Below are 26,958 nucleotides of genomic sequence, written 5' to 3'. Positions count from 1 at the left end.
TATTTAATAAAAGATCGCATGTGCAAACAAAGTAATGTGTAAGCATCTATGTGCCAGTTGTTTAAGCCCGGGAGTCCTCTGTGACTTTTCATAGTTCCCACCTGAACAAGTGTGATCTTCCCTGGGGTTCTACCTCTCAGGGCAATCACAAGCAGGGAGAGCTCATGCAGGGTCAAAAAAAAATGTTTTATTTCAACATATGAAAGGAAAGGAAAGGGAACATTATTAGCAGGGTGCCCAGATTTCCCTTTACTAAACACATCTTCTCATTTAATCCAATCTTAAACATCACTTTCCTCAAGGAAAACTTTCCTAACCACTGTCTCTAATGGATCTCAGACACCCCTTCCCCATTTTTCTTTGCCACACACACTGTTTATTTCCTTCATAGCACTTATTTTATTTTTAATTGTGCATTTCTTTGTTTTCTTACATATGCACCATCCTAAACTGCAAGCTTCATGATGGTAGTGTCTCCACTCACACCATCAGGCAGTGCAGCAGATGGGCTGAGCACACACTTCTGGAACCAGGTTGCCTGGGTTCCAGTCCTGGGTATGGAAATCACCAACTATGTGACCTACACAAGTTTCGTAACCTCTTCGGGCCTTACTCTTGTCATCTGCAAATTGGGAATCAAAGTAGTACCCCCAGCGCTTTTGTTAGGAGGATTAAGTCAAAAACTGTGTATTAGTTATCAATGAATGCCTAGCTTTGGGCTCAGTAAATGTATGTTTAGGAATAAATTCAACTCTCACAATAGTTCTACCAAATAGACATCATTGCTAAGTCTACACATGAACAGTCCAATCCTCAGAAGCCAGCTAAAATCACACACTACTAAGTCAGTCCTGGTAGTCCTAGATCATACATGTTACCTCCAAACAATCTGTAGTTCTTGGGTCAAATTATCTAGTTTTGTGTTGCCTGTGATGTTACTCTTTATTGTTTTCTAGCCTTTAGTAAAGTTTCCCAGCTTTAAATTAACCATATTATGGGTTATTAAAGAAAATATCTCCAGAAGCTGGACTTACTTATCATAAAGACTTGGCAGTTTCCTTTCAATAGTGTTTGCTAATTTTCACAAGAACCCTGCTAATAAGGTATTAAGATCCCCATTTTACAAAAGAAGCATTGGGAAGGGGTTGAGTAACTGCCTCCTTCCTTCAGCACAGTTGTATAGCAGGGCTCCAAATTGCAGTGGTTCCATCAATGAGTTCTGGAAGCACATACCCCCGTTCTGAATCCTGGTCCACTCTCTTAAATATCTCTGATTTAGCTTCCTAATCTAGAGAAAATAAGGAGTTCATTTCTCAACTCCTCATTGAGTTGTTGTATAATATAAACAACATCTACACATGGAAAGTGACTAACATATTTCTCAGCTCATAATGTGTTCAATCTTGATAAATTCTAGTGCTGATGGTAGTGGTAGTGGTGGTAGCTGGTAACTGGTAGCAGCATCCCTACCGTGTACACAATGATATTTGAAGGATGAGTTGTCCAGATGGACAAGGAGAAGGTAGATGAAAGCCCATTCTTACAGAAGATACAGTCTATGAAGGCATGAAACAGGATGGCAAGTTTGAGCAATATGGCTCCAGGAGAGGCATGGCATCAGATGAAGAGAGAAAGGTATAAAAGACTGGGTTTGTTATGAAAAGGAGTTTTAAGTGGAAAAAAGATATGGGTAGATTTGCATTTAAGTCCAAATGTGCTGAGCTCTTAGGGTTGAATCAGAGGAGACAGTCATGAAGACCAGGACACAATCAACTGTGAACACCTTAATTGAGGCTGGATTTGCAAACAGCAAGAAGGCACACAATTTAAACTTTTGGGAAACAGACACGACAGGATATGACTGTGTCTTGAAGGGATCTAGAAAGCAAAGAGGCTAGGATCTTATGTGTTTAGGATAGGTGACTAAGTAGATGATCCAACCATTAAGAAAGACATTCAGAAGGAACACCAAGCTTCAAGATGAGGCAGAAAATGAAAAATTGTATCAATGAATTCAAAACCCTTAGAGTAAAAACTCATCAGACAGCTAAATCTTATAGGGCAAGAGATCAAAAAGTGGGTGGACATATATCTTCTTGTGTTTTTACTGAAACAACCTGACTTAATGGTCTCCGGGACAGGATTCCTGGGTTGTTTATCTTATAACGTAGTTCCTGGGCATGGTGTCTTTCCCCCAGAATTATGTCTGAGAGCTAGGTCTGAGACTGGTGCTGTTTCTTCACTTGAGCAGCAGAGGAGCTAGTTGGCTTGTGTTTAGGACCATGATGTGAGAAATGGGAGAATATTTAAACAGGCCGGTAGTATAAAACTCAGCATGGGCCAAGCATGGTGGCTCATGCCTGTAATCCCAGCACTTTGGGGGGCCAAGGCAGGAGGATCGCTTGAGCTCCGGAGTTCAAGACCAGCGGGGGCAACATAGTGAGGCCTTGTCTCTATTTTTAACTTAAAGGAAAATAAAATAAAATAAAATAAAATAAAATAAAACTAAGCATGAAGATAGGTGCCAAGACAAGAGACACTGTCTCACTCCCACCCAACACATGCATACACTGAGTGGAAACCAGGCAGAGCTGTCTGGTCAATTCAAGTTGTTATTTCTCTGCCCTAATGCTCCCCATTTTAATTTGCTGAGTGAATATAGCTACATATAAGTTAAACATGTAATGTGAGTCCTCCATACAGGTTTGATCAGTCTTCAATGGATAATTGAGTTAATGAATGAGAAAACCTTCTGAACTTCACAAGCTTTCTCATGCCTACCCCAGTGGAAGGTAATACTGTGTGTAAACTCAGAAAATGGAGTCCTGTTAACCAATGGTCTTCAAATTTTCTTGTGTGCTTACTCCTTGAAGGAATTTGGACCGACCAAGAGGTCCTTTGCATATTTTTAAGTTGATAACAAAATGTTTTCAGCAAATTTAAATAGTTGCAAAATGTATAATTTATAGGATAGTGTCAATAATGAATTTTTAAGATAAAACTATGAGCTTACTCTTTCAAATATACTCAGTGGAGTATAATACTGTATGATTTTGACAAATCCTCATTCACTTCTAAAGTATCCACTAACAGCTGGGATCTGTGGCTCATGCCTATAATCCCAGCACTTTGGGAGGCCAAAGCAGGTAAATCACTTGGGCCCAGGAGTTCGAGACCAGCCTGGCCAACATGGCAAATCCCTCACCCCACTGTCTGTACTAAAAATACAAAAATTAGCTGGGTGTGGTGGCACGCACCTGTGATCCCAGTTACTCGGGAGGCTAAGGTAGGACAATTGCTTGAACCTGGGAGGCAGAGATTGCAGTGAGCCAAGATCACACCACTGCACTCCAGCCTGGGCGACAGAGAAAGACTCTGTCTCAAAAATAAAAATCAAAATAAAATATCCACTAACAAGCTCTTCTTTAACAGTAAAAATTCTTACATTATTCCTTTTTTGCTCTTTATATACTTATTTCCATTCTACTGTCCTGTCATAATTCTGTCTTAATGTAATGTATTGATGTTTAATGATATTTTTATTATTCTATCATAGTTTTCTATTGAAAAATATGTATGTAAACTGAAATCAAACTTATTTCTGTAACTATACAATTATATGTTAAAGATATTTTCTTTGAGAATGTTGTCAATTTAAACATTACTATTGATTACAAATGATCACAACAATGTAAAATACATTAACTATGTTGCTTAAATACCATTTAACATAACAAGTAACTATTTGTTGTTATTGTTGCTGTAACAAATTACCACAAATTTAGCAGCTTAAAACAACTCATTTGTTATCTCACTGTTCTGTGGGTCAGAAGTCTCAGTCTGCTCAGTTTTGCAAACAAAAAATCAAGGGTTAGCAGGATTGAATTCCCTTCTGGAAGCTTGAGGAAAGAATCCACTTCCAGGCTCATTCAAGTTGTTGGCAGAATTCAGTTTTACACAGCTGTAGGAATGAGGTGCTATTTCCTTGCTGGCTGTGGGCTGGAGACCACCCTTAGCTCCTAGCACCTGCCCTCTGGTCCTTGCAGGTGGGTCTCAGGACCAGCAAGGGTACAACATATCCCTCTCACTCCACATCTCTCCTGCCTCTTCTTCAACTGCTGCATCCCTCAGACGGATGCTTCTGCTTCTACAGACTCATGTGACTACTCTGGGTTCACCATAATTCAAGATAATCTTTCTATTTTAAGGTCAATTGACCCATCGATTGATTGGTAAATTTAATTCTGCAAAGTTTTTTCACAGCAGTGCCAAGATCAGTGTTTGACTGAATAACCAGGGGTCAGGAATCCTGGGGGGACATCTTTAGAATTCTGCCAACCACAGTAATCTGTTATTAGAAAAATAGCTTTTAATGAGATAGACGAGGCATTTTTTTTAATTAGCCCATGTGTCTGCGGGTGAATATTACTCATTGCCAGGATGAGACACATTTTTAAAGATTGTATTTCTGTTTTTCACTTTCAAATATGTAAGTGCTGAGGAACTTTGTTCACATACATAAGTAGACGGGAATGGAAGGAGTTTTGTTATAGCAACACAACTGGTCTGTAAACACCTTCTAAATTATTCTCGAAAGTATCATAAAGTGATATATCATTTGAAGTTTTCTTTTGTTCAATGATTCATCAACTAAAAAGCCACTGAGGGTCTCCTGCAATTCTGTTGAAACCAAACAATTAAAAGCCATCTGATACGCAACAGGATTCTTTACACAATCATCTCATTCCCAATTTCTGGAACACGCAGTGGTCCCTCCTTCTCCATGGACCTCAGCAGATGCCTGAAGCAGTGGATAACACCAAATCCTATGTGTACTATGTTTTTTCTATACATATATACCAATGGTTAAGTTAATATACAAATTAAACACAGTAAGAGATTAACAAGAACCAATAAGAAAATAGAACAAATTATAACAATATACTATAATCAAAATTATGTGAATCTGGTCTCTTTCTCTCAAAGTACTATAATATTTTCAGACTGTAGCTGACCACAGGTAAGTGAAACTGTAAAAAGAGAAACAGTGGATAAGGAGAGACTACTATGTGCCAAAAAGTCTGTACCATGCCCATTATTCTTTCATTTATGAAAACAATGAAACAATTTTTGGAGGCACAAATAAGTTTGAAAAGAAAGAAATGTTTCATTCCCCAGCTATAGCTACTATGTAAACAATATTTTTAAAGTAAATACCCATGTTCCAGACGTTGGACTTGTCCCCACAAGCAACCAAAAACCCAACTATACAGAGTGAAGGTCCAAGGCTGCTTTAATTATACATTCAGTAACAAGAAAAGATTCAGAAGTGGTTTAATCATAAAATCTACATTAACCTGAAATAAAAGGGATTTTTTTTCAGATTGGCAACAATAACAATAATAAACAAACATCCTCAATACCCCTCAAAACTAAAAAAGGAATACCTGTAAAAGAATACCTAGTCCAGTGGGCTAATAGGTTCTTTCAAAAGAAATGCAAGCTCTGTAGAGAACAACTGGCAGGACCGAGATAGATTGTTTGGAATTATGCAGGATCTATATTATCACATCAACCTCCTCACCGCATCCTGAGAGGCCACAAAGCATAAAACCAAAGCCAACATTCTCTCTTAGCCCACCTTACACCTTACCTGTTGCCATCTCAAAAATAACCCTTGTGCCAGTTATCAATCTATTCCCTCATCTCCAAAATCACCCTTCTTTGCCTGCTGTGCAAAAATGGATCTAGATGCTTTTTCTTTGCCAGTTGGCACAATATTAAACTTTGTCAGTAGAGGGCACTGGAGAGACATCACAGGAAGGAGCAGTTTTCTTCCTGGTTCAGGTGTGCTTTCCCATAAGGCTGCTGAAGTACAGCTGGCTCTTCCAGCACCCAGCTCTGGCAGTGCCTACGGCATCTTCAGGGCCCAGCTCATACAGTACTCACAGCTTCTCCATGGCTAGCTCCTGCAGTGCATAGCAGTCAGCAGCACCTGAAAGCCAGCAGCTTCTCTTTGCACCCCCTCACCAGGAGGCTTTGTAGCAGGGTGTCTCCACTGACACACCTCCCCATCAACAGCCTTCCCTGGTACCCTAGAGGGTATACTTCCAGCAACTTCCACCAGAGCATGATCACAGCAACTTCCCTGCCATTCTATGGACCACAGCCATGCCTTCTACAACAAGGACTTGATCTGTACCTGAGGAACTAGGAGAGAGCTTCCTTCTTGGGTACCCTGCCCCAGCCCTAGGAATAGGGTTGCTTCATGTATCTGCCATTCCTGTATTCTTTGCCATTCTCTTTACTTCCTCCTAGTTAATCCCATGTAACTCCAATTCCCTGTTATAATTAATAATTCTTCACATTAAACTTTCCCTGTGCAAATATCTGTGTGGTGCCCATTTCCTGGTTAGACCCTGATACAGCCCTAAAATCAGACACTTCCAAGGGGATTTGCCTTAGCTCAGCTAACATAGGTATGTCTCTTTGAGATTCACAGAGAAGGAAATTTTTTAAATATGTCACAGTTTCTCTTTTAAACAGATCACTTTGTCTGAGACAAATTAATATTATTTTTAGCAAATTCCCTTATGATACAGAATGAATAATCCCAATTCATTTAACCTTTCTTCACAAACTCCTATTTGAATCATTCAGCATACTTTTCATTGGCGTTTTGGGATCTTCTAAATGTGACAAGGGGCTGTATGATCTCAGACAGACTTCCAGACATGCTGCTGTGCACTTCTGTTATAATAGTTACATTTTCACAAATTATGAAAAGTGAGAAACATGCCGATGCAAAGGTAAAATTATTTAAATAGGTGGAAAGACACTCTCGCTTTCATCTTTGTTTATTAAAAATGGAAGTGTGGAAAGCAGAAGAGAAAAGAAGGAAAACCACAAAATGTTAGGCAACCTAATCAAAACTAGAAAAGAAGCTGGTGATATCTCAATAATAAAATAACAACATGGAATTGTGAGCGCAAGGCATCTAAGGAGCTTTTAATTCTAACCTCAGACTTCTAAAAAGATTTCTAGTTGCCCTCAAGATTATTTGATGGAGCCTAAGGTACATATTAACCCATCATTTGAATTAATTCTTCTTTTGCTATTGTCTTCTGAAACGAGCCCAGAGAATTCTTCTATCCATCAAGGTCATTTTCTGTGGCAAGGGCAACAGAATTCTGCAGCCAATGTAAGTTGATTCAGCAGCTGTAATAACATGAAGCCATCTGCAGCCCTACATTTAGTATGCAAATGAGAGAAAGCAAAGGTCTAGCATTAGATGCAAGATCTTAAATTCTGTATTTCTCCTCTCTGGCTTTCTATCTGTTTACCTCCAGTAACATCTGATTCATTCTTTCTTACATCAAATAGTTATTGAGCATCTGAGGATACAGACATGAACTAGAACAATAGGAGAAAGCTACTCTGGCCACTTGACATTTTCTTATTCTACCTAGTCTACCAACCTCCTTTTAAATTTATTTGCCTCCCTTAAAAGCCAGGACCAGCCAGTTGTTTACTTCCTCATTTCCCACTCCCAGGTCATGAAGCATTGTTGCTGTCTCAATGTTTCTGATGATCCTCTAGCCCCAAGCCCATTCCTATGCCAGCAGCTCACAGCACTTCACTGCGACTCACTCAGTTTTGTGGAAACTGGGGCCATACAGCATTAAACCCTTCAACTTTGGTTCTTTCCTCCTCAACATTTGTCCTGATTTGTTCTCATTTTTTCAAATTCCTTTTTGTCTGATCAGTGACACCTATCTGGTAAAATGTTCCTAACATTTTTCAAATTTGTGCTCCGAATGCATCTCTATAATTCCTCCCTGATGCAAGCCCTAATCAGCCCTCATTGGAAATATGGCAATATGTTTATTGATGTCATCTTGTATTGGTAAGTGTTCTTAGTTGCAAGTAAGAGAATCTTCATGTTCTGGTTAGCTGCAGAATCTGCAGAAGGGCCAGGCATCGAGCTCTGGAGCTATGCGTCCAGGAACAATGTCCAACCATACCCTAGGGGCTGCTCAGTAAAAGCTCCAGCGCCACCACCTCCTGGCATCTGGGAGGATGAAGACAATGCCAGAGACTCTGCCACAGCTGCTTCCAAAGAACCAGATATGTCTGTCACTGTACTTGCCACAAGAGCTGTTTTCCCAGTTAGCCAACTCCTATCGTGGCTCAGTTCCAAATCCAAGTCTTGCACAGGTGCCTCTGAATGGTGTAACTGAGATCACACACCTGTACACTAGCTTCAAGGGAGCCTAGGAATATGAGTTTCCTGAATTATAGTTTGGAAAGGTAAAATTCACAATGTAGAATATTCATAAAATGTAGAAAGTACTCAACAATGTTGGGCTGCCACAGAAGCAAAAGACCACTAAATATACCCCTTCAATCCATCTTCTAATATAAAATATAATTATTTTATTACTATTTTTAAAAATAATTTTATGGATTCTCTTTTACCCAAAGATTAATGTAAGCTGCTAAAATAATATGTAAGCATTTGCATGGTTTTGCCTTCATTTCTTCTGTTCATTCCCTATTATTCATTCTCGTAAAAAACTAAAGCATTATAAGATTTTTTTAAACCCATTGGTGGTTTACGACTCTCTGCCCTTGCATGTGCTTTTTTTCCTGCATAGAGTGTTCTTTTCCCTTCCAGTCTCTTCTTAGAGCATATATTGCATGCCAATCTGTGGACTATGCACTAGAAAAACAAAAATTAATAATTAGCTCCCACCTCAAGGGATTTAGCAGGGTGAGAGAGATATTTAAGCAAACAGTATGAAAACATAAAGCTACTCCTGGGATAGAGTGGTGCTGTTGGGCAATCCGATAGGTCCCTGTCCAGAGAACTATGTAGACTTGGATAAGGAGGTTAATCACTTCTGTTTGGAATGGCAGAGATAAAGAGAGTCAGGAAAGGTGTGGCAGGATAATATTTTCAAATATTAATACTTGGGGACTTTTTGATACCTGATATTTCCCTCTGATTCTCTTCCATGTTAACAGAAGTACCTTATAAGCTTTATGGCTTTTCTCATTCAAAACTCTAAGCCCTTAGGGCCAAGATCACATACCAGACGTGCCTGAAGTGTATGCACCCTACAGACATGATTTGTTTGGCTTAAATGCTGTTTTTATTCATGTAGAATTAGTTGCCAACACAAAAAAGTTTAACAATTTCACGTAAGACTAAATTTCCAGCTTCTCTTGAAAAATCTGGAACTTCTGCAAACTTTAGGTTCACAAGTTTCATGGCATCAATCAGCTGGAGCTGTGTAGTGGCTGCACCTTTAAATATACCCAGTCCCCACCACCCCCTGTTGTCTCCTACACTCACCTGTTTCACCTTTTTACACTAACTACCTTACCCCAGTAGGCATTTTAAGTTTCAACACGTCTTAGAATAACTGAGATGGTTTTTAGAGGAGCTAAACGTGAGAAGAGGATTCTGGAATATAGATAAATATCAGTAAGACTAGGACTTCTCACCCATCATAGAAAGAGCTGTTGCCTGGCTAGGAGTGGAACAGAATAGCAGTCTGTGGATCTGAGAGCAGTGAGAATGCAGCCCATCTTCATGGCCATATTGCTTCAGAGATTCTAGCCCCCAGCAATGCATGATTGGTTGTGAGTCTATAGTCAGAATGCACTGAGAACCTGACCAAAACCTCTATACCCCAAGAGTGCCATGAAAGTATCAGACAGCTGCTGGAGCTGCTGAAGCTATCAGGAAAAGGACACAGACGGTTGTGAGCAACCTGGGTAACCAGGTTTGAAGACTAACGAAAAGACTTTTTTCTTTAATTTTATTAAACAAGCATTTATATAGCACATATTATATGCCAGCCCTTTTCCAATTACTTTATCAATATTAACTTAATCTTCATAACAACATAGTGAAATAAGTACTGTCGCTATTCCAATTGTCAAATAGAGAGACTGAAGCATGGGGAAGTTAAAAGAGTTGCCCAAGTTCACACAAGTAATGAGAGATAAAGCTGAGATCCAGCCCCAGACAATTTCTCCAGAGCTCCTGCTCTTCCCACAACCTGGTGCTACATCTTAAGAGAGGGGGATAGCCAGGCTCAGTCCTGGGAAGGCTGCAAGGGATGGAGTGTAGGGTGCAGCCAGATACAAACATTAGACAGAGAGAAGCAAGCCTCCTCCCGCGTAATAAGAGGGACAGAAAAGGTGGAAGAGACACAGGTTAGGACCAGGAGTTTTTTTCTGAAAAAAAAAAAAAAAAAAAAAAATTTTCAACTTGTATTTTAGATTCAGGGGGTAAATGTGCAGCTTTGTTATATGGGTCTATTGTGTGACACTGAGGTTGGGGGTATTAATGATTCCATCACCCAAGTACTGAACATAGTACCCAATAGGGAGTTTTTCAGCCCTTGTCTCCTTCCCTTTCTCCCCTCCCAGTTGTCCCTAATGTCTATTATTTCCATCTTTATGTCTATGAATATCCAATGTTTAGCTCTCACTTATAAATGAGAACATGTGGTATTTGGTTTTCTGTTCCTGCATTAATTTGCTTAGGATAATGGCCTCCAGCTGCATTCATGTTGCAGCAAAGGACATGACTTCATTCTTTGTTACGGCTGCATAGTACCCCATGATGTCTATGTACCACATTTTCTTTATCCAATCCACCATTGATAGGTGCCTGGGTTGACTCTATGTCTTTGCTATTGTGACTAGCACTGCAATGAGCATATGAATGCATGTGTTTTTGTTTTTTTGTAGAATGATTTATTTTTCTCCAGGTACATACCCAGTAATAGGATTGCTGGGTTGAGTGATGGTTCTGCTTTTAGTTCTTTGAGAAATCTCCAAACTGCTTTCCACAGAGGCTGAATTAATTTATACTCCCACCAACAGTGTATGCATTCCCCTTTTCCACAGCCATGAAGAGTTTTTCATCTGGTGACTTCTATTTCTTTTTCTCTAAAGTAAGAGATAACACTGTTTGCTGAGATGAAGGTAGAGGCAGAAGGAGCATAATTTGGGGAAGGGTGGAAAATGTTTAGCCACTATGAACAATGAGGGGACAGCTGGCCAGAGAAATGCATGGGGCTGGCTAGCTGTGTGGAGAAACCAGCTGAGGCTGGTAACTGCCTATGCATGATGATTGCCACCAAGGCCGGCAGCACAGTCTGCAGGGCCAAGTGCAAAATGAAAATGTGGGGCTCCTTCTTCAAAAACCAGGACAAAAAGGGCCACTAAAGATAGTAAAATAAACAATTTTTTTCCTTTCTACATAGTCTCTCTTGTCTTGTCCTGATGTTTGCTATATGCTATGTAATGTCACACTCCCTCCCTCCTGCAGGGAGATACTCTTTGGATGAGTGTGGAACCTCTCAGGCCCAGAGCCTCTGACTCCATGTGTGTGCTTGTGTGCTTGTATGTATGTATGTGTGTGTGTGTGTGTGTGTGTGTGTGTGCATGTGTGTCCCACCAACTAATGGTTTCCCTTCCACCAGCCCCAGGACCAATATCCCTTCCCACAAACCCATCCCAGCCTACAGCAGATGGGCACCAACCAGGGGACAGACTCTACACATGGGAAAGCATTGGGCACCTGGATGGCAGGTGGGGTAGGAACCCCACCACCTGAGTCACTAGCAGGTGTTGCACTGCAACCAGCCTGGAAGGAGGACAGCCACAGCCACACCCCACCCCAGACAGTGTGGGCACTGGCGCCAACCTCTGGGAGCAGAGCAGAGGACAAGGTAGGGAGCAGGGAGTGGGAAGCAGCAAATGGGGAGGCCGTTCATATGAATCACAGCAGCCCCTCAAGAAAGGGGCTTTTAGATTCTAGCACTCCAACCAAAACATCTGCTGCCTCTCCAACTAGGGAGTGCAGTCATTCAGGCCGGGGGCTCCTTTCACCAGGATGACCTTCCCAGAAGAAATCTCAGGCTCCAAACACAAGCAGCTGAACATGTAACAACACAGTTTCCAACAAGAACAGGTACACGGACACACCAAAATCCAAACAGAAGATAATTTCCTGCCTAACTTGAAAGAGTGGAGATTATGAAACCTGAGAAAAGAGAACTTGTATAGTCTTAACATCCAAATAGCTATGGCACTTCAGAGAAGCTTGTGTTTAAGGAACATTTTCTAATTCAATCCTTGCTTCCTAATTCACACATCCCAATAATTTTTGGTCTTCTTAATGAGGTACTTCACCTTGTGGCCATCCACTCATGTGCAGAGCAAACATCTTGCTTCCCCAAATTAAGGTGGAAATAAGCTTGTGGATTCAATCTCTTCTGGAAGGTCAGGTGCTAAGTAACCTGGTTTTGCTAATTCGTGTCTCAAATATCTACCTGTGAAGTTTCTATCCTACTCCAACAGTGAACATTTCAGATTTACTTTATAGAATCAACTTTCATTTTCTCAGACAGTTTTGATCAACCTAATCCATTACTAGTTTCAACTGGGAAGAAAATTTCTTTAAATGAGACAAACTTTTGGAGCATTCTCAGATAGATTCAGTTTATAATATACTACTAATAAAGGAGTCCCTGTTGAAGAGGAAACTTCTGATCGAATACTCTTGGAAGATTCTGCCCAATTTAAAAATCTCTTTGAAACATTAGAAAAGGATTGAAAAGTAAAAAGACCACTCTAGCATCATGTCATCTCATGCTTTCTCTGTGGAGGCTTAAAACAGGTATGGGAAGATTTATGTTCTCATATTTCTCTTTGAAATTGGCAGTAAAAAATTAGTAGTTATGCAATTTAAACAAAAAAAAAGCTTTAAAAATTATAGGCCCTTCCAAAATTGATTGAATTTGTAGAAAAAATGTGTATCTTTTTATTGCCTCTGAACTCAAGGAAACTGAACTGAATGAATGCCTATATTGAACCAAGAATGCCTATATTAAACAGCTATGTGAAATAGTGCTGATTTTCATGGCTCTTAACTAAAAATTCATTTCCCTCACTCTTAAGCCCAAATCACATTCAATTCTATTACTGTATGAAATGATTGTGACTTGAAGACTTTTATAATCTAACTTTTGCCGATGACCTATATGCTCTAAAAAGCTGAGCTGCCTTCTCCCTAAGAGAAATGGCAGTGGGGTTAATCCAGCTTATTTGAAGGGCTGCTAACTCCCTGCCCCATCCAACTTGGCTTAATGCAGGCCAGAGGTATAAGCATTATTCTTAGAACCTTTGAACTGGGTGAGGCTGTAGAGATCATCTAGTACAATGTCCCATTTGCCTTATGGATTTCACACACTTGCAAATGAATAATTCTTTTTCCAAATGCACTACAAGTTACAAAAAATAACCTCAGGGAACCAGAGGTGCATGATTGGATATGTAGAAATGGTAAGCATTTTCTATATTAACACATAAGTGGAAAGAAATCATTTCTATTTTTGTCAAATTTTAAAGAAATCACTCCTAACTGATCATTAAAGTTTAAATATTGAATTTTATCCAAGTAAAATCAGTATTTCTTACAGAGATATTGTATATGTATATACACATACATATAGAGTGTGTATATATATATAGCCATATATATGTATATCTCATCATGTAAAAGATATAGACTAATACAAGTTCAAGCTAATATTTCTCCCAAAGAAAAATAAGAAAAAAGAATATCCTATTCCCTTCTTAAAGGAAAAACACTTGATTTTAAATAGTGTTAATGCTATAGTTGTTATAGTAATTTCTCCCTTTTCAGTACACAAAATGGCAAATACTAGAGAATTTTTAAATGCTCAAAGTAGAATCTCAATAGATCATATCCCAGAACAGTCAACAGTTTGGGGCAGTTGATTATTCTCCTCCCTGAACCACCGTCTCCATTTGCTTTGCAGGACACCACGCTCACCTGTTTGTCCCTCTACCCATTGGGTACCTCTTCTCAGTACCCTTTGCTAGTCTTTCCTCTTATTCCCAACTTCTCAACATTGAAGTTACCCAGGACTCTTTCCTGTGCTTCTTCTCTTCTCCGCTTGTTTCCCCAGTGATCCTTTCCAAGCTGATGGCTTTAAATACCATCTATTCATTAGGGATTCTAAATTTATATAATATCTCCAACCCAGAACTCTACTCTCAACTTCAGAGTCAAGATTTCAACTGCCAACTTGACATCTCCGTTTGAATGTCCAGTAGGCAACTCAAATTTAACATACACACAACTGAGCTTTAAACCTTCTTTGTCTTGACTCATCCCCATCTAAGTTATTGGCAATTCCATCCTTCCAGACATGAGGTAAAGACCTTCGAATTGTCTCTAACTTCTCTTTCTCTAATACCCTAGATCCAGGCTGTCAGCAAAATCTATTGACTCGCCTTTGCAATAAATACAGAATTCAACCACACCTCGCCATGTACATCACTCTCACCCTCATCCAATCCACCATCAACTCTGCCTGGACTATTTTAACATCTGCCAGAAGGGTGTCTCTGATTCTACCAACTCTTTTTCTTTTTTTTTGAGACAGAGTCTCACTCTGTCACCCAGGCTGGAGTGCAGTGGCACGATCTCGGCTCACTGCAACCTCTGCCCCAGGTTCAAGCAATTCTCCTGTCTCAGCCTCCTGAGAAACTGGGATTACGGGTGTCTGCCACCACGCCCGGCTAAATTTTGTATTTTTAGTAGAGGCGGGGTGTCACCATGTTGGCCAGGCTGGTCTCAAGCTCCTGACCTCAAGTGATCTGCCCACCCCGGCCTCCCAAAGTGCTGGGATTACAGGTGTGAGCCACCGCACAGGGCCCTGCTTCTACCAATTCTTAATACTGCAACCGAAATTATCCTTTTAGTCTTACCTAGTCTTGCTAATCTGTGTCCCAAGTATCTACTTATGACTTTCCTGTCCTACTCCAATAGTAAATACTTCAAATTTACTGAAGTCAGATTATATTATACCTCTGCTTAAACCCCTCCAGTGGCTTCCCAGTTCACTCAGAGTAAGCCATATCTTTACAATGGTCCATGAGGCATGATTTGTATGAACCTGTGTACACACACACACACGAACATCTCCTACTGCTCTCCTCCTTTTTCTGCTCTCTTCTACAATTGCCTCCTGACTGAGTCTCAAAGACTCAAGATATCCTCCTGTTTCCAGGGGCTTTTCACTAGCTGTTCCTTCTGCTCTTCTTCAAAGAGGCGCAAAACTCCCTGAACCTCCTTTGCTCAAATATCACATTCTTAAGTCTGTCCTGATTAATCTATTTAAAGTCCAATAGCCCCCATCTCCCAGAACTCACTAGCCTCCAGCTATGGCCTGAATGTTGGTGTCCACCCAAAGTTCATATGTTGAAACCTAATCATCAACATAATATTTTTAGGAAGTGGAGTCTTTAGGAGGTAATTAGGTGATGACCGCAGAGCTCTCTCATGAATGAGATTTGTGCCCTTATAAAGGAGGCCCCAGAGAACAGCCCTGACCTCTTCTGTCACGTGAGGACAAAAAAAAAAGCACCATTTTGGAACTAGGAGGCAGGCCCTCATTAGACCCAATCCATTGACACCTTGATCTTGGACTTCCCAGCCTCCCAAACAGTGAGAAATAAATTTCTGTTGTTTATAAGTGGCCCAGTCTTTGGTATTTTATTACAGCAGCCAAGTTGACCAAGACTACTTCTTTCTTGCTTTCTTTTTTCCCTTTATCATTTATCAGTTTTAAATATATTTTGTAAATTGCATATTGAGTTTATTCATTTTCTTTCTTGCCCACTAGAATGCAAGCTTCATGAGAAGGGGGATTATCTGCTCTGCTTACTCGTATTTCTCTAATACCAAGGTCAGTACCTAGCAGTACTCAATAAATGACTGTTGAAGTAAATTCAAATATAAACTTTAAACAGCTAATATAGTACGAAATAACTCTAGGGTAAATTTTGTTTTCTTAAAGTTAGATGCTTTTAAAATTATAATCCTTAATTTTTGCACATTTAAATATTCTAAAGATCTTCTTTCAGCTACAAATTAGGAAAAAAAGAGATATAAGATAACGACAAGTAAAAATGGTGAATATATTTTTGTAACTTACTTTGGTTTGATTTTGTATCTTTATAGAAGCCAATGAATTGATTTTTTCTGATCTTGGCCAGAATTTTATATATCAGCCACAAGCCTTTTCCAGCTTTAAAAAGTTACCTTTCCATTAAACAAAAAGATATCAAAATAAAGGGCGACTTGCTCTAAAGCTATAATGTGATTAAAATACAGCCAGAAAGATCAATAAAGTTAATATGGATTTGTAGACTGTATTCCAGAAATCTGTCTGCCAATCAGTCTAATGGAATTACTCTTACCTTATTGAGATCCTATTGAATATTTGAGATCAAATATTCATAAAGAATGCTGTGCTATTATTTAAAAACCAATTACAAAGTATTTGGTTATTACATCTACCACCTGATATTAAGGAACCAAGATCAACAAGATTTTACAGTCTGTCTCTCTCACATACACAAATGCATGTCCACACGGCACAAACACAAATAGGCTGAAATTTTTTACCACAAAAGGAAAATATTTAACTCCATTTTCAAAGAGTGAAGACCAGAAAATAAATTACACATTTAAATTCAGAAAGATAATTAGAGAAGTAGAATGGGACGTTTCTCTGATTTTAAATCTAATGCTTAGTTCATAATTAGAGAAAGCATTGTTCTTTCAAGAACAATATAAATAACAGACTATGCTAACTATGCCAAAGAAAACTCAACACTGCTCCCACTATTTGTCATCTACTCATAGCTCACAAACACAGTGGTAATAAAAATTATAAAACAGTGAAAATCTGGGTGGAAGGGTAAGATAATTTCTGGAGATTTCAAAAGTAGGAATCAAAAGAGCTGATGCTTTCTTCACAGCTGAAGAGAAATTTTCAGGTAATGTCCAATCTATATGTTGGCCTCTTCTGCCACTAAACAAAAGAAAGTACACACATAGACCCATCTTCTTCACTACAAGACATAGAAAGTAATGACTCCCAGGGAACAGACTAGTATTACTACTTCAGTGGATTTCACCAAAAAAGAACATTGGAAGAGAGCAAATGTCCTCATTCTCTCGCACCATAGCTGAGCTAACACAAAGGATCAGGTTATCAAGACATTCACACGAATCAAGGATCTTACCTAGTATTAAGCTTACTAATTTAAGCTTGAGAATATAAATGACTAAGATGCACATACACAGCAAAGAGATGTTTGATGTTTCAAGTACAGCTCTCCAGGTGCTTATTTTTTGTCTCAGTTGTACCTCTGGCCCAGACAATAGATACTTCACCTGCTCTCCAGGTGAAGTACAGTTTTCTCTCATAGCAGGGGGCATTTTAGGTTACGAAACATCTCTGAGTTATTTCCAGAAAGTTACATCTGAGGCATCTTCTAGGAAGTTGTGTCTCATAAATCCACAGATTCTGAGTTTGTTTGCTGTAGGCATTTTAAACCAGAGACATCTTACTAAAACATTCCACAGATAAGAACTTCCCTTCTATAAATTATCATTAGTTATGCTGGTTACTGACATGTTCACAAGGATACTGTGCCTGGCCTCCTATCTTCTCTCCTTCTTGGGCATGTACACCATCTCCTCATAAAGGGAAAGAAACAGATCACAGGTCTTCTCCTTCCTCCTGGTATTGATCTGTGAAGTAGCAGAAAAGAAATAGCAGTAACTATTACTATGGAAATATAGTTAATAATCACCCAATACTTAGTTTGAACCTGTTAAGCAAATATAGACAAAGTATCTAAAAATTATTTGCAATTGGTAGACAAGTTTTGATACAAGGAAGAAACTTTCCAAACTCAACAAATTTGAAATAGCATGATGGATCAGGAAACAATGCCCCAAAAGACAACAAAACACATGGTCTTGATAAAATCAACATGGAGCTAATGCCCTTAGTGCTATATGTTATTTGTAATCGTTGTCCACAAAATTATGCTTAAATTAAACACGTATTAAATTGCATCTACTGTGTGGGCACTGTTTTTCTCAAGAAGTCTCATTGCTATTAAAATGGTTCAAATTTAGTGGTTCCCTCCTGGAACTGTTAAACAGAATCAGGTGGATAACCAAAACACTTGGCAGTGTCAAGATTATGGTACCCAAAGCTGGGTTTTAAAAATTATGCTGTGTTGCTGCTGGTGTGTGGTGTCCATCGTACACTCTAATATTTTCATAAAGTTCTCCCAGGTACCATAAAGAGCAAATTAAACACGCAAGGCCTTTACTCTCAAGAAAATTACAGCTTAAAAGAGTCAACAAACTGAGAAATCAGGAAAATGACTGTTTCGACTCTGACCCAGCTGAACTGACAGATGTCATTAAAACAAATGATTAGACCACAGAAGGATGTGCTGTTCATGGATAATGGAGACCCAAATGCTGTCTTTGCTACTAACTATCTGTTGGGTCCTCGTGCACCACTTCCGTTTTCTGCATCTCTATTGTATCCACGAAATAACAAAATTTGGATTAGACGATGCTCAGTCTGTTCAAAGTCTAAGCTTATGGAAGAAATATGTAAAGTAAATAGATAAAGAAACTTGGCATTCATGATGTTGGTATTATGGAATGTGTCATTAAGTCCCAAGAACTGAGTGCTGCACCACGTGCAATTTGTTTGAAAAAAAAGAAACATATTCTTTCATTTATTAAAAATCATATGCATGCCCAGCACTTTGGGAGGCCAAGGTGGGCGGATCACGAAGTCAGGAGATCGAAACCATCCTGGCTAACACGGTGAAACCCCGTCTCTACTAAAAATACAAAAAAATTAGCTGGGCATGGTGGCAGGTGCCTGTAGTCCCAGCTACTAGGGAGGCTGAGGCAGGAGAATGGCGTGAACCCGGGAGGCAGAGCTTGCAGTGAGCCAAGATCGCGCCATTTCACTCCAGCCTGGGTGACAGAGCAAGACTCCATCTCAAAAATAAATAAATAAATAAATAAATATTTTAAAAAAATCATATGCATGAAGAAAGAACTTGAAGTGTCTTGGCTCTAGTGCTTCTGTAAGTGTAATATAACTGTGGTTCATATTTTGGTCCCCAGTTATTGGAAGGCCATGAGCCCTGACCTTAGCCTTGTACTCAGCAGGCTGTTTAAGTAAAGTATTCTAATAAGTTTTATACCTTTAGTTAGGTCAAATACAAAAAGAAAAAAAAATAGCCTGTTTGCCAAAAAAGCAGAAACCATTTCAAAACATTAAAAGAAACATTCAAAAATATTAGGGAATGCAACCATATGTTCTGGTCAAAGTACTCCCATAAGGAGCCAAAAGCCAAACTAATTTTGTGGACATTTGAAGGTTTGCTGTTAGTGTAGTCCCACTTGTAGGGCATGGAGAAGACAAGGGGTTCATGTGCTCTTCCCAACCCTTACAAGCATGAAAGAGAACCCTGCTGAGGAGCTAAGATGCTAAACCTTAGCCTAAGCTAATGGCAGAAGTTATTTAATTGTTTTCTCTGACTCTAAAAATAAAGAGAAGGGGCAGAAATTCAGCTTAAGTCTTTTTTTTTAACACCTTATAATGGCAGAAACATTTGAATTTTCTAACTGGTGCACAAGAGAGAGGAAGAAAGCATGATGGGTAGAGATTTAAATTCAATTCTTTTTTTCTATTGTCTGAGACTACAGCATCAACAACTGGCAATTGAGAGAAGAGACACATCATTATACTTATTTATAGCATTAACTACTTTACATTCATCCACACAAGTGAAACTGTAAAAAAAAAATTATAAAGGGAGTGTGTGGTTCTTTCATTAGCTTGTCTGTAATACTGGATTGGTCCATAAATTAATGTGTATAAGAGGATGGGGGGGAAAAAGGATTCAAAGCTCTGCCATTCTAATTACAGCTCTTTAAATATCAAAAGACACAAAGAAAGATTCCTTTTGAAAAGCCTACCGACTCTCTTGGCAAGACACTATTAATTACTTGCATAAATCTGCAGTTTGTACACCCAGAGTTATGGGTGACATTATTATATTATCTGAGCTTTTAACAGTTCCTGTTGTTCTCAGGGTGTTTCTTTAAACTCTTGTTTACCAAGCAATCCCTTTGTAAACTTCAGCTTCCTGCTCAGAGGGAATGAGCAGAGCTCTGAGACAACAGGTACCTTTGAGCCACTCATATTATCTACAACTCACACAATTCAATTAAAGAAACTGTACCATGCGAATTATTAAATTAGGTTGGAGATCGCCATGGGCAGTAATAATATCACAATCTTATTTAAAAACAACACATATAGCTTCCATAAACAAACTGTTTATAAACAAACCACATGGGCAATGGAAAATACAAAGTAGGCCTCCCATCTAAATTAATAGGTAAAGCCCCAGAGAAATGACATCTAGAGAAATAATTATAGCTTAGAAAACATTGGCCTCCAAATTTCTAACTTTTATGTATACACTTAATCAGAATTGCTCTTTTGAACATCCATTGCATAGAAAAGTTAACAGAATTAAAATCTGGCCCATGGCTCTATATTTTTGCAATAAATACATACTCTAGAGAACATTCTCCAAGCTGCTTTGGAGGACAGAGGAGAAGTGTGCTGCTTGATAAAATTCAAAGCAGCAAATGTGTCCCCTGTTGTGCCCAAGCGCCAAGTTTCAGCTTTAATCATGCACCAGAACATTTTGCAAAATATTTAAAAAGGGAAATAGACTTATGACCAAACTGGATTGGTCCACATTATCTATCTGGGGAGAAAGAAGCAGGCAAAGCAGGCAACAAGTCAAAACCTAAACTGTCTGAAGGACCCCATGCCAAGGAGGAAGTGGTAGGTACTCTTTCTCTTGGGATCCCCGATGCAAAACCAAAGCTTAAGCTTCCCTCCAGTCAGACCCTTGTAATGACTGTGAGTGTCAAACACTCAAAGGTTGACCCAAGGCAAGTCTGCTCTTACAGCGGTTAAACCTGATGTGACACCATTTAATAATACAAGTTTATGTGTTCCTCCTAATTGGCCAACAAGCCCATCAATTATAAGGCTTGGCCAACAGCCCAATCCTATTGGCATCATGAAACTTAATCATGTAACAAAATGCAACTGCTCCTTTTAATCTTCTCAGTCTTTTCTGCTTTTAATCACACAGATGAACATGGGAATATTTTGAAGTTTGGAGTTATGGGGGAAGGTCAAGAGTGTCCAGATATGTGTGTCAGTAGATAAATCTAGGTGAGTATAGATTGACTCAATAATAGAGATTATAAGACAAAAACAGGTGCCATCTTAAGCAGATGCCTATATATTTGTTAATAACTTGCTGGGAACTATTCACACTAGCAAAGACACGGAGTCAACCTCAATGACCATCAACAGATGAATGGATAAAGAACATGTATTACAGGCTGGACATGATGGCTCATGCTTGTAATCCCAGAGTTTTGGAAAGCCAAGACAGGAAGATCACTTGAGCTCAGGAGTTCCAGACCAGCCTTGGCAACATAGCAAGACCCTGTCTCTACAAAAACAAAGGAAGGAGGGAGGGAGGGAAGGAAAGGGAAGGAAAGGCAAGGCAAGGGAAGGGAAGGGAAGGAAAGGAAAGGAAAGGAAAGGAAAGGAAAGGAAAGGAAAGGAAAGGAAAGGAAAGGAAAGGAAAGGAAAGGAAAAAGGAAAGGAAAGGAAAGGAAAGGAAAGGAAAAAGGAAAGGAAAGGAAAGGAAAGGAAAGGAAAGGAAAGGAGGCCAGTGTATATATATATACACAATGTAATACGATTTGGCCATAAAATAGAATAAAATCATGTCATTTGCAGCAACATGGATGAAACTGGGGGTCATTATGTTACATGAAATAAGCTATGCACCCAAAGATAATTTTCATGTTTTCTTACTCATATGTGGGAACTAAAAAAGCTGATCTCATGAATATAGAGAGTATAATGATATATACTAGAGCAGCAGTCCCCAGCCCTTATGGCACTAGGGACCAGTTTCACGGAAGACAGTTTTTCCACAGACCGTGGGGGCAGTGATCGTTTGGGGATGATTCAAGTGCATTAAATTTATCGTGCACTTTATTTCTATTATTACTACATTGTAATACATAATGAAATAGTTATACAACTCACCATAATGTAGAATCGGTGGGAGCCCTGAGCTTGTTTTTCTGCTCGGGGGAAATCTGGGGATGATGGGAGGCAGTGACAGATCATCAGGCATTAGATTCTTGTAAGGAGTGTGCAACTTAGACCCCTCACATGCGCAGTTCACAATAGGGTTTGCGCTCCTATGAGAATCTAATGCCACTGCCGATCTGACAGGAAGTGGAGCTCAGGCAGTAGTGCTCATTCACCCACTGCTCACCTCCTGCTGTGCAGCCCAGTTCCTAACAGAACACCAACCAGTACCAGTCCATGGCCTGGGAGTTGGGCCCCCCTGTACTAAAGGCTGGGAAGGGTGGGGAGTGGGGGCAGTGAAGGCAGGCTGATTAATAGATACAAACATATGGTTAAATAACAGGAATAAGTTATAATCATAAAAAATAATAAGTGCTAACATTTGATAGTAGAGTGACTACAGATAATGGCAACATATTGTATATTTTGAAATAGTTAAAAGAGAGGACTTGAAATGCTCACAACACATAGAAATGATGCATGAAATATCTCCAGGTGACAGATATCCTAAAACCTCTGACTTGACCATTACACATTCTAGGCATATAACGAAATATCACATGTACCTCATAAATATGTATAAATATTATGTATCGATGAAAGAAAGAAATCACTGGGAGCTCCCAGTGCCTCCTGGAGAAAGGCTGCAAAACGTTCCAGCTAAAAGATATTCTGTCAATGTGCTGAAGCAACTCCTTTATTTTACTGATAAGGAAATAGATAGGGAAGGTGCATGATTTTTTCAAATGTTCACAAATAATTGGTAGTAGAGTTACAATTCAAGCTCAGATTTATCTTGTACTTAAGGAGTTTTCTGCTATTATGCTGAGAGTAGAAAGAGATTCTTAAATTTAGCAACTGTTTTTTATCATGGTGGCCATGACTAGCTAAGTAAATATAAAAAGAAAAGAAGACATCAAAGTTGAAACAATAAAGATAAACATATTGTGTGGTGGAAGATGTTTTATTTTTTGATGTGTTTCTTTTTTTTTTTTTTTTTTTGAGACAAGGTCTCACTCTGTCACCCAGTCTGTAGTGCAGTGGCACCATCTTTGCCCACTTTAGCCTCAAACTCCCAAGCTCAAGTGATCCTCCCACCTCAGCCCCCAAAGTAGTTGGGACTACAGTAGTGTGCCACCACACCCAGCTAATATTTTTGCATTTTTTGTAGAGACAGGATTTTACCATGTTACCCAGGCTGGTCTTAATCTCCTCAACTCAGGCAATCTGCCCCCCTCAGCCTCCCAAATTGCTGGGTTTACAGATGTGAGCCTCTGCGTGTGTGGAGGACATTTTAAAGACTGTCTGGAAAAAGAAATAAGAGTCACAAATTGGATCATGTCACTGTCTTACATTTCAATGACATTTTTATTGCTCCTATAAGCTTGGATTCAAATTCCACCCTGGCCTTCCAGGTTCTGCCCCAGCCTTCTCTCCAGTCTACTCACATGACTTTCTCCTTCAGCTTCTGCATTCCTAGGCCATCAGACTTCTAGTTGGTAGTGGTAGCATATTATCATCTTCCTCCCTAGATCATTTGTCCTTGATTTCTAGCCTAGAGCCAGTCATGCAGCTGGTGTTCAGAGTATGTTGAATAAATGTGCGAAATCATACAGATAAAAATGCATGGAATATTTTCAGGATGTAAACCACTATTAAAATATGAGGTGTTTCTTCCTTGAGAAGACATTAAAAGTTCATGGAAAAAATGGAATTAAAAGATAAAAATAAAAACTATAAACTTTATTGAATGAAAATGGATGTGCTTTAAAGATTTTTTAAGATTAGGAAACAAAGAGAAGCCAGAAGGAGCCAAATCAGGACTCTAAGGTGGATCTAATGACTTCCCAATGAAACTCTCATAGCCCTTCTTTGATGAGAAGAATGAGCAGGAGCATTGTCGTGGGTAAGGACTCTCAGGTGAAGCTTCCAGGCTTTTGTTCTGCTAAAGCTTTGGCTTTCTCTAAACACTCTCATACTAAGCAGATGTTATTTTTCTTTGGCCCTCCAAAAAGTCAATATAAACTTTTTGTAAAGCATCAAATATTTCATCATTCTTCCACCCAAGTTTTATCATAAATTTGATATTTGCTTTTGCTTTGATTTTAGCAAAATTCATGTTTCTCTGATAGGGGCTCTTTTCAAACTGATGTCATATCCCTCTTAATACCTCAAACTAGATCCTATTCAGACACATTATATTAAGTTAGTATGGGCTTATTTTGGTGTGAAAAAATTTTGAAATCCATGCATAACTTTTTCATAATACTCATTTTCCATGAACTTTTTGATGACCCCTCATATTTATTTCTTAATGCGTTTGGAATTTGATTTTCACATACAACTTTTCAGGGACATATTTATGGCCTAAAGATGCATGCATTGTATTACACTATGATATCTGGATGAGCCAGGGTAATTTAAAATGCACTAGTTTCATTACCTCTCACCCAGCTCTTGTACTAACCAAACTGAGCATTCTTAACTCTAACTCTTATTAAAGAAAAAGGATATTCCTTGTCCAGTAAGCAAAAAAAAAAAAAAAAAATAGGCATGAACTATTCAACTCCTTTATTTTCCCATTCCTGGCTGTAAGGCAGGGTACTCTCTGTCACACAGTCATCCTCTGAGGACAAATATGTGTGATGGCAAATATGATGTCATTGGTCCACCTCCAAACATGATTTGATGGATTGAGCTGAATTTCTGCCAAGGGTCCACTCTAGGGATTGCAGAAGGTGTCTTGGACATTATCCAAACAGAAAGCAAGGGCCAGCCACATCTTGAACCCCGAAGGAGACTTGGTTCTCCTCCATTGGTTCCCACCTGCTCTTCACTATCAGAGTGGAGCATGCTCCCCATTGGCTCATCTCCCCAAATGCTGTTCAATCAGGAGGTGGACTTACCTCATAAATGTGTATATATATATATATATATATACACACACACACACACACACATATTTATTAGTGTGTGGTGTGTAGGTAAAAGGATTAACTGCTTTATCTTGATGGAGGTGCCATATGAATTAAAGCATTTTAATGTCCAGGTCATGCTGTCCAGTATAGCATTATTTCTGCTTGATTTATTTTAAAAGCCCACACAATTAGTATCTTAAGCTAAGCATTTCATTTGTTCATTTATTCAGTTTCTGAGGAAGGTGTGTGTGTGTGTGTGTGCATGTGTGTGTGTGTGAGATATCCCACAAAGTCTCTATACTAATACAGTTTACATCCTAATTGAGAGAGACAGACAATAAGTAAATACATGTCAAAAGTGATAAGTGTTAAAGAGAACAGAAAAGCAGAATAAGAGGAAGATGATGGGGCTGAGGGAGGGAGGGCCAGATTGAATGGATGGTGGTCAGGGAAGACCTGGTGGATAAGCAATCCTGAGCAGAGACTTGGTGATAAAGCAATTCATGCAAATATCTGTGGAGGTGACAGAACTCACACAGAAATGAGAAGTGCAGTTGTGTGATATGGGAGCATGTCATATTACCTACAGGTTCTTTTTGGTTTTTTGTTTTGTTGTTTTTTTTTTTTTTTGAGACACAGTCTTGCTCTGTCACCCAGGCTGGAGTGCAATGGTGCAATCTTGGCTCATTGCAATCTCCACCTCCTGGGTTCAAATGATTCTCCTGCCTCAGCCTCCCAAGTGGCTGGGATTACAGGTGCATGCCATAACACCTGGCTTATTTTGTGTTTTTAGTAGAGACAGGGTTTCACCATGTTGGCTAGGCTGGTCTGGAACTCCTGACCTCAAGTGATCCGCCCATCTCAACCTCGCAAAATGTTGGGATTACAGGCATGAGCCACCACACCCAGCTTGCTGTATGTTCTTATTTTTAGAATTTTTGATGGTCTGGCCTCTGGGGCCTTGCTGGATCCTGGAGAGACCACCCCTCCCAGGGTGAGCTAGTTCCTAGAGAGAGCAATGCCTTTCACTTGCAAATCAACCAACCCAAAGCCAATACCTCCAGCCACCTCTTTTATTGAGCTCCTACACTGAGGGCCAATATTCCCATGTCCTAATCACCCCAGGGCCATGTATCAGACAACCAGAGACAGCCTCTGTACTCCAGAGCCTGCTGAAATCATTCAGACTGGTCCATCCTAAGCCTGGTTACTCTGCCTTGCCTTTCCCCATGGAAATCACAATAAAAGCTTTTCCCCATACCTCCTCTCACCCCTTTGCCTCCTGACTGACACTGGTGCTTCCTGTGTGGCCCAGCATGGCTTACAATTGTCTCCTGCTTCTAGGAACCATGAGTAAATACTTTTTCCTTCATAACAATCATTTCTGTATCTATAAGTCATGCCATACCTGATTAAAACAAATACTGGGTATACATTTTTAAATGCATGCCTGGTGCATTCAAGGAGCAGCTAGAATGCCAGTGTGGCTCGAACAGAGAGTGAGGGGATGAGACAAGGGAGGGAAACAAAGGGCCAGCCCATGTAGACACCTACAAGGATTGGCTATTAATCTGACTAAAGCAAAGAACCACTGAGAAGTTCAGAAGAGAAAAATGACGTGACTTCATCTACCTTTCAACAAGAAAAATCTGGCCACTATGTTGATAATAGAATGAAGATTGGCAATGGAGAAGCACAGAAGCAACTTGGGGACTTATTACAATAATCTATTCAAGAGATGCTGGTGGACAGGACCAGGGTGGTAACTGGGGGAGGCAGCAAGCAATGGTTGAGTTCTGGATATAAAGTCTTTTGAAAGTGAAGTCAATTTGATTTGCTGATGAGTTGATGTGTTGTGAGAGAGAGCAATCATAGATTACTGTAAG

The 26,958-nt window shown here is 39.5% G+C and overlaps 1 long non-coding RNA gene across 1 annotated transcript in view, besides 1 other annotated feature; it reads right to left on the bottom strand.

Moving 5' to 3' along the window:
- LOC105375873 (uncharacterized) overlaps nucleotides 1-26,958 on the bottom strand; it is a 39,300-nt gene that overhangs the window by 8,651 nt on the left and 3,691 nt on the right. The window contains exon 3 of the long non-coding RNA XR_001745931.2: nucleotides 17,541-17,659. This is a non-coding gene — a long non-coding RNA (uncharacterized LOC105375873). The remainder of the gene's footprint in view (nucleotides 1-17,540; nucleotides 17,660-26,958) is intronic.
- Nucleotides 22,099-22,290: a silencer, noted in NCBI's record as "fragment chr8:64196998-64197189 (GRCh37/hg19 assembly coordinates)". NCBI's record gives its function as "represses an EF-1alpha promoter that drives an FKBP-Casp9 reporter gene in an ReSE screen in HepG2 liver carcinoma cells {active_cell/tissue: HepG2}" and the evidence as "EXISTENCE:reporter gene assay evidence [ECO:0000049][PMID:32094911]".

Source organism: Homo sapiens, chromosome 8 (genome assembly GCF_000001405.40).
Source record: "Homo sapiens chromosome 8, GRCh38.p14 Primary Assembly".
Lineage (NCBI taxonomy): Eukaryota > Metazoa > Chordata > Mammalia > Primates > Hominidae > Homo > Homo sapiens.
This window is presented reverse-complemented; position numbering and strand designations above follow the sequence as displayed.